Genomic DNA, 8,895 nt, shown 5'->3' on the forward strand with positions numbered 1-8,895 from the left:
TGGGCTGCTGCGGCTGGCACTGCAGGGCCGGCCTGCAGCCACCCGCATCATCCCATGCGCTGAGCTGCCAATTAGGAGCATAGTTCGGGGGGAGTAGAGGTGGAGCTTTTCGGTTGCTGGAAGACTGTTTTGCTTTGCTTGGGGGAACACGGGAAGGTTAGCGGCTCCCTCTCCCAGGACCGCCAAGGGACCGCTTTAAAGTCCGCAGCGGACGCTGCCGCAACGGGTGGGCGTGTGCGGGCTTGCCCACTGCAGCTTGCGCCTCCTCGGTGGCGTGCGACATGGCGCGCGTGCAGCCTCGGGACCCGCTCCCGCCACCTTCTGCCCCATCGCTCAGCAACTCCGGCGGTTGTTTTAGGAAGCCCGGAACAGAGCTTTCCCATTGCAAACTGCCCCGGCCCTCCCTTCCCCCACCCCCACGCCACCCCGCCCCACATTTCTCCATGGACCCCTTGGAAATCACCACGCTCCAGGTTAGGGAGCAGGTTGGTCCGCGCCTGGTCTGTGTCCTGCGCCCCATTTCACCCTCCCGCTGCACCCCTGCTTCTCATTTTTCCTACCTAGGCCGTCCCCCTCAGATGCTGCCTTTTCGCCCTCCTCCAACTCTCCTGTTTTCTTCGGAACGGCAGACTCCCTCGGCCTCCCTTTTGGGGTAGGGGTGGAGGAGTCCAGGGTGACAACCAGGTCAGAGGGCTGAGGCGAGGCTGTGAACGAGTAAGCCTTTTCCCAGACAGGCCCAAGTGAAAGAGTTTCACCTGAGCGGTGCTACTTGGGCTGGTGGTTCTGTAAATGAGTCGATCTCCTCCTCAGCACCTTTCCAACCATCCAAGACCCTCCCTGCATCACAGGCCCTCTTTACTGTCTAGGACTGGTCCGGACTGGGAAGCCCGCTCCCACTTCATGGTCTGACTTCTGCTGCAGGCACACCAACGCACCGCCTTCTTAACGAGGGGTCTCTGGGTGGACTTCGGCGTGATCACGGACCCCTTGAGGTTGCAGGCAAAGTGCTGAATGTCTGTTTGCTTTTTCAGGAGAGAGGGTCGCTGCCTTCCCTATAGTGGCACAGAGGCTCTGGCAGCGCCACCATTTATGACTGTATGGCTTTGAGCAAGTTACATGGTCTTCTGGGGGAGCCTCTGCTCCTCACCTATAAAATGGTGAATGCAATGATATTTGCCTCCTAGGCTTATTAAGAGCGATGTTACCCCTGGACCTGGGCAACAGAAGCCTCAGCCCTGATTTCTGGTTTTAAAGGCCCTCATTCTGGCCCTCCTCTGGCCATGCCCCTCACTGGAGAATGAGTCCATGGGACCAAGGGGGCAGGGCAGGTGGGGGCATGCACCTCCTCCCCTTCTAGACTGTACTCCAGGTATCAGGAACTCTGGAATTCCCTATTCCCCAGATCTGTCCTTTCAAGGGCTGGCCATATCAGGTGTGCACTCAAGGGCTAGAGCAGTGGGCAAGGGACAGCTGTATGCAGGTGATGGGGAGTGCATGTAACTTGACACACACCCTAGGCATGCACAAGAGCCCCTCTCACTACAGGACCAGAGAAGAGTGTGTACCAGAGAATGGCCTGAAAATTTCATTTTGGACATGGTTTTCCAGGTTATCATGAAGGAAAAGTAATTAAAGGCAGAGGATAAAACATCAATCTTAACACTTTGTTATCCTGATTAATATTTAGACATATGTATAATTTCCATTTGTACCTTTGCTCCAGGACTTGCAACATCAAAAGTGGACCTAGCTGTAAAGAGGGAATGAGATATTATTGCATGTAAAAGTGCTCAGCAGACAGCTAGGCACAGGATAAACACTCAGTACATTTGAACTTAAAGAGGTCTGTGGGCCCTGAGGCTAAGCCTCCCCATCTGTCTCCAGGTCCGCAGGCTTACCCTGTCCTTCCCCAGGAGGTCCTTGCACTAGATCCGCAGGGCCAGGCATACAAACTGACCACTTTATTTTTACAGCAGGGGTCATGTTTCTCAGAACCCTAGACTGAGGTGAGAGAGGAGGTGAGCCAAAGGGAAGGAAAGTGACCCCTGCCCAGAGCAGGGGGAGGAGAGGGACAGAGCTGCAGGGATATCTTTAGATCCTGGTGACAGGAAAAGATGGCCAACGTCCTCAGTGTCCTCTCCCCACCTTCCCTGCTACCTCACTGCTACCTCACCAGTTCATAGAGTTTGAAGGGTCCATAGGAAACCCTCATGCCTTAGGGATGAAGAAAGAGGCTCAGAGAGGTAGAATGTGTAACCCGAGGTCAGCTACACAGTTACTGTTAAAGTCAGCGTTAGAACCTCCCCCATTACTTGATTTCCCCAATCCACACCCCCAGCTTTCCTCTAAAGAACTCCAGGAGGGCTCCGCAGCTGGGCAGAAAGAGTGCTTGGGAAATGCATTAGCTTAAGGGCTAGAGGATTTTACATTTATAGAGCACTTTCCTCAAAAATTCTCAAAACCCTAGCCCATCGATCTAACTCAGAGGCTGCTACTGAGGATGCCAGGGGAGAGGGTGTCAAAAGGTCAGAGCTCCTTCTCTCTTACCTTTTCAAAACTATCTTTTCCAGGGGCCCTCCCTGATTTAGCACCTCTTCACCCAGCTCAAGAGTCCCCAGTCACACTGGATAGGGACAGGAAGAAACAGACACCACACCTTGGCTCCTGTCCCTTCTGCTGGAAGTCCCTTGGGGGAGGGCAGGGGTGGTATCTGGGTACACAGTCCCCAGCCACGGTCGGACAAGCCCGATTCCTGGTGATGGGGTAATGCACACGCAGCTCTTGGGTGGCCTAGCTCAGAAATACATTGAAGAGCCAGTTTTCAAAGATGCAGAGGCCGATTGGGCCCTGTGCCACAGAGTTGTCAGAGAACTGCCCGCTCTCAGGCTGCAGGAGACAAGGCCTAGATTTAAGGGGAAGGAGATTGTTTCCTTGGGGATTCGTGTAGGGTTCTTTGAAGCAGTCAGCCCAACAAAAATCCCCAGGGACCAAGCAACTGACTCAGTTGGTCTCCTTCTCCCCTGCCCTCCTAGGGAGCTGGATCTGAGCTAGGAAGGAGGGTGGGTGCCTGCTTTCCAGCAGGGGCCAGCCTAGAGAGGAATCAGCATGCCCCAGGGGAAGTCGGATGGGCAGGAATGGGCTGAGCTCCAGCTGCCAGCCTCCAGAGCCGCTCTTACACTGGAAGGCATTCACCCCCTGGAGCAGGATCACCTTGTACAGATGATCAGAGTGGGTACATGGAATGCTTCCTCCCCTGTCAGTTCTCAGGAAGGCATCGAGACCCTGTGCAGAGGAGGAAGGGCAATAGAGAGCTCCAAGGAGGTCTCCAGCGCTATTTTGAGAGGAGTTCCTCCTAAGTAACAAGAGCCTGGCAGGGAGCCTCCTCCCACTCTGGCTCCCCTGTTGCCCTTCCCCGCCTGCCTCCCTCTCCCTCCTCTTCCCCCATAAACCCTCGCGCTCCTGCTGGGGCACTGCAGGTAACAGAGGGAGCTCAGCGCAGCGCTGACTCGGCTCTTGGAGCTGGAGGACAACGGGCTCTGCAGGGAGCCCGCCTCCCCCCACACACACCCACCTCACAGCTCCTCCCCAGAACAACACCAAGAGGTGCATCTCGCCTTCCCCGAGCTACCCCCTGGTGGTAACCAGAGCCCCGGTCTCAGGATGGGGAAACTGCAGGCAGGAGATTCTCTACTTGCACTAACTTAAAGTTAAATGTCCACAAACCCTTCTGCCACTTGGGTAGGGATTGAGTGGACGCTACCTGGACAAACTTTTAGGAGCTTCCTCCTGCTGCACTGAGGTCTTCTCTCTACCCCTCCCTACTCACCACTCCCTTCCTCCAGCTCAGAGCACTGGCTTGCCCCTAGCCAGAGTCTCAGCGTCCACTGAAGTTTGGCAGGTGCCGAGGGGGTTAACAGGACAGCATGTACCAAACCAACCCGCAGGCACGCGGCTTAGCGGTCCAGCAAGGAACACCGCACAGAGTCCACCTCACACCAGCGAGTTGGAGTAAAGATAAACTCTTTCTGAATCCTTCTCCCAAGGAGAGTCGATCGCTTCTTCTCACTCCTCTCTGCTTTCTAGGGGCTCTGGGCAGAGGCAGGTAGGCAGCCACCTCCTCAATCCCTCCCTTCCTCTGTTTCTGTTTTCTGCCAGGTTCTGTCCAAACATCCTTTCAGGCTGAGATGGGTAGGGAGCCCCAGACAGATGAGCTCATTGGAAGGAGGAGGGCAGAGGGAGGAGGGAGCCGAAATATCCTGACCAGAGGGATGCTCACCGGCCAGTCCCGAGCTGGAGAGGGTGTGTGCCCACTTCCGGGAGAAGGTATGTGCTGCCCTTGCAGTAGCTCCGAGATGGGGTGAGTCCTGGACATCTCTTTACTATAGGCCACATTGGGGTGGGGTTTGAAGCCCCCGGACAGGGTGTCAACCACCCTACCCAGCACCCCAGAGCTATATTTCTCTCTCTGCTTCATGGATCACCATGGCCCCCTGCCTGCCCATCAAGGGAGGATGGTGGCTCAGGAGGGCTGGGAACTGGAGGCTTTGGGAAGGTTTGTCATTCATTGCAGCCTGCCGCTCACAGGACTGCCTTGTCAGCTGAATAGTCAGATGCCCTCCTGGCCTGGCTTTGAAATGGGCACCTGAGACAGACTGGCCAAGCCAGAAGCACAGCACAGCGCGGAGTACCCGGCAGGACTCCCCAGATGCTCTGGTTTCATGCATTAGGAGCATTTTAATGTGGGAGCAGTGGGTCTTGCAAAGTGAGGGGAGAGGGAGGATGTGGACCTGGAGAGGAAATGCGGCAGAGAAGGTGGGGGGCAGAGGAGAGGAAGAGAGGAGGCCTGGGAGCAGAGGAGAGTCTTCCTGAGTCGAGGGCAACTTAAAGTTGGAATGTGGCTCAGGCTGAAGGGGACGGGTGGGGACAGGGAGACAATTGTTTAGTAGGTGAAGCAGAGGATACACAGGCTTTTGGCAGGAAGGGAGTGGAGCGAGAAGCCAGGGGAGGAGAAGGTGGCCAGCAGATGCTGCAGCTGTTTGCACAGAGCTGTGGGGCCAAGGGCCAGGCCATGTAGGGGTGGGCAGGAGGGGCCCGCCGGGAAAGCGTGGCCTCTGCTCACACTTTTGCCCTTATGCTGTTGTCCATGGTCATTTTAGGGTTGGTTCCAAGCCACCCTTCCCTCACCCACAAGTGTTCGGTCTGCGAGAGCCCAGTTCACTGTCCTTTCTCCTGGTGTCATGTAATGGCTTTGGTTCATCAGGCCTTGAGTGTGAATTTGGCTCTGCTGTTTCCTAGCTGTGCCACCTTGTTTGTACACATACTTATAATACTGCAGAACTTTGTTTCCTCATGTGTAAAAATGAGAAAAGAATGCATTTGGACGGGGCCTTGCCCTAAGGATGAAGTAAGCTGATATACATCAAATACCTAGATCAGCACCAGGCACAGAGTAGGTACTCAGTAAACAGTGGCTCTTCTTATTGATCTAGCCAAGAGTCCCATACCTTCCTCCTTCAATGCCCTTCAAGTTCAAGATGGCCATGAAATCCACCCCTTAGCCCTTCCAGCAGGCTCAGCTCCAGTGGACAGCCTGCACGGGTATGAGCAAGCTATGGGGGGAGTTGAGGGAGATGTTGACAGATTTGGCAAAGCTGGGAGCACTCAGGGATAGGGAGGCAGGGAGGACTTGTATCTTCCATCTACAGTCTTGACTGGAAAGACAGGAGTTTCTGACCTGGCTGGTGGGCCTAGGAAGGCAAGCTAGACTTGGCCTCATCTTTGGAAAGAAGCTCCCCAAGGTCACCTGTCTTCAAATTTCCCACCCTCTCCCAGCGTATTTCTCACTGTACATAGAGGTTCACCCACACCCCCCACGTCCCCACCACTGATAGATCAGATACAGAAGAACCAGGTAAAGCGGTACAGGGGTATAGAGGGGACCTGGGGAAGACCACAACTGAGTAAGAAAGCAGAGGGCCAGACACGTGTGCATGTTTGCCGGTGTATGTGTTATACTTATCTTCAGGCAAGCAAGACTTTTATCCCACTTCTATGATTTGAGTCCTAAAAAGAAGACTGCAGAGGGCCATTATCAGTAGACTTAAAGGCTATCTAAAAGTATGCCCTGATATAGGAACTTTCTCAACAACACCCCTAAGTTATGCTTAAATACCTTCTGGGATGGGGATTTCATTACCTCAAAAACTCGACCCTCTGCACAGCTCTGATTTACACTGGATGAATATCTGTCTCTCCCTGCCAGTCCTAATGTCTTGCCTTGGGACAGAATGGGACAAGTCTAATCCCTGTCCCTGAGGCTACAGCCTGGGCCACTCTATCGGTCAACAGCCACGCTATCGGTCAACTTCCCCTCCTGGCTGAACACACCCTACTCTTCTGCCCATTTGCCCACAGGAAGAACTCTGAATCTGTTGGGGCTAACCGTTCCTAGTCCCTTTGCCACGTGTTTACTGGGAATGTGTCCCACTTGAGAAGCAGAGGCAACTGTGGTTGGGATAGAGGTGACTTTGCCAGGGCCATAGGGGAAAGCCCCTCCCATGGGATCCAAAGTAGCCAAGCTGAATGCCTGGCACCCACTTGCCCTTCCTTCCCCAGCACCTCCTAGACCTGAAGGTCATTATTGCCAGAGAAAAGACAAAGTTGCCATACCAGGCCACCGACTCCCCCATCCCAACTCATCTATTCCCATCACCTCTTCCCCAGGGCCTTGCTCCCTTTTCTCCTAGGCTAGGCTCCACTGACCGCCCCCCACGACATCCATGTGCCGTGTCAGGATGCCAGGATGTGGTTCTCAGCGGGGCTTCCTTCCCCAGGCCCTCCGGAGCCCTCATCCACTGGGCTGCTGGAGCCTGTCCTAAGGAGTAGCTGGCACTCTGGACATCAGCTTGGTAGCAGGCAGCCAGGAGTGACTAAAACATGGTGGGTTTTGGGGTGTGATTCTGTAGGAAGAGTCGGGGGCAGCAGTGCTACCAGGACTTTCTGAGAAGAGTTCCTGCAGAGCCCTTCCCGTGCGGACCTTCTGAGCCCCCAAAGAACCAATGAAGAAGGCCAGGAGACCTAGTAGGGACCTGCCAGTTGTTCTGTGTCCAGTTCTGTGTCCAGTTGCCCAGCCTGCACCCATCAGACACTATCCCAGGCTGCTGTCACCTGAAGATGATTTGATACTACGTTCCACCCTTGCAAGATGGGAGGGAGATAAGTAGCCTAAGAGGGGCCCATATGCAAACTGACATGAGTCACATCATGCTGATGGGGGGTGGGAACAGGACTCTGGGAACTAGTGCCAAAGGACATGAGCCTATTTGCCCAGGGACATCAGCTCAGCCTAGGGAAGGCCTTGACTGGGGGAAGAGAGACTTGGGTTCTATCCCAGGCTCTGTCATTAGCCAACTGTATGACTTTGGGCAAATCACGTTCCCTCTCTGAACCTCAGCTTTGAAAACTGGGCCCTTAAGGAAGCATGAGTGCCTCTTCTGCACCAACTCAGGCCAAGCTGGGGAGGGAAGGGGAGGGGTCTGGGCTGGTGCATGCTGCTGTGTCAAGCACTAGACCCAGCACCTGTGGACTGCAGGAAGAATAGCGGACTTGGAGCCTGCCAGACTCTGTCTGTACTTGACTCATCATGTCGCCTTAAGCATGTCACTTCTCTGTTCTGGTCTTCAGTTTCCCCTTTAGAACAACGAGGGGCCTTGACAGGTATTCCTGGGGGCCCTCCCATCTCTGCTGTTGTAAAGGTCTACTCCGTCACCCCTAATCCTTTTGGCCCAGATTCCTATTCCCTAGCAACCATCCATGGGCAGGCCGATGGCTATCCCACTGGGATACCCCATGCATGGGGTGTCCAGTGGGAACTGGGAAGCTCTTGTACAGGTACCTCCACCTCAATTGAGGGGCACAGGAGACCAATAATTTTGAGCACCAGGGTGGCAACTATCCCTTCCCCCACCAAGGCAGCTTGTTCTGCAATCGAAATTCATCCACCCCGCCCCAGGCAGGCTGGGCCATAGAACCCAAATTTAGGGGAGATGCCTGAACCAAATCCAGCCTTCCCAGAAACCAGGCCCAGTTCGTGACTACCAAGACCCTCTTCCCCAGGGCCTTGCTCCCTTTTCTTTGACCGTAGGAAGAACTCTCAATCTGTTGGGGCAAACTGTTCCTTAATCCCTTTGCCACCTGGTCCCCAAAACCAAGTGTTTGGGGGAGAAGCCCAGTGAGGAAGATGCTGCTGGCCTGGCTGAATATCAGGGGCCTGTGTCCATCCTGGAAGGAACCAGCCAGAATCCCTGGTGCCTTCTGCTGCTCAGTCCGTGTCCCTCGCCCAAATGTTCCTATCTGTTAAGTAGAGAAGCATCCCCCCGCAATACCCCATTCTTGGCAGGACTCAGGCTCCAGGGATAGACATCCTTTTAAACCAAGGGAACTTTGGCTCTGTTGAATACCAGCCACCTTTGTTTAACACTGCCACCTCCAGTCTGACTTCTCTCCCAAGTGGCAGCTGTCATCCTTTAAGCCATTAGAACCACAAATATCAAGGTCCTCTTGGCGTATTCCTAACTACTAACCACTGGTGAGGGTCTCTGGGTCTCCAGGGAGCAGACAGGAATGAGACAGAAACCAAGAGAAAAGTAGGAACCAACTACCTAAGTATGTCCTTGCCATTCAGCAAGTTGAGGTTTTTCTTGCTGAAAAGGGTTAGCCAGCCCGTCTCTCTTTGCAGTGGTCCTTAGTTAGGAGGAAGACACAGATGGGGGTGGTGGCAGGGTGAGGTTCTGAGAGAGCAGGAGAGGCTGGAGCAGTTGAGAAAGTCAGCAGACTGAAACCACCAGAGCGTGGTGGCCGGAGCATGCAGCCAGAAGTGGGGCTCGAACCCCAGAG

General features: G+C 54.5%; 1 annotated feature.

Moving 5' to 3' along the window:
* Positions 310–810: an enhancer, noted in NCBI's record as "H3K4me1 hESC enhancer chr11:118024156-118024656 (GRCh37/hg19 assembly coordinates)". NCBI's record gives its function as "activates a minimal SCP1, AML or CMV promoter by ChIP-STARR-seq in naive H9 embryonic stem cells {active_cell/tissue: H9 hESC(naive)}" and the evidence as "EXISTENCE:reporter gene assay evidence [ECO:0000049][PMID:30033119]".

The sequence above is a fragment of the Homo sapiens genome, chromosome 11 (assembly GCF_000001405.40).
Source record: "Homo sapiens chromosome 11, GRCh38.p14 Primary Assembly".
NCBI lineage: Eukaryota > Metazoa > Chordata > Mammalia > Primates > Hominidae > Homo > Homo sapiens.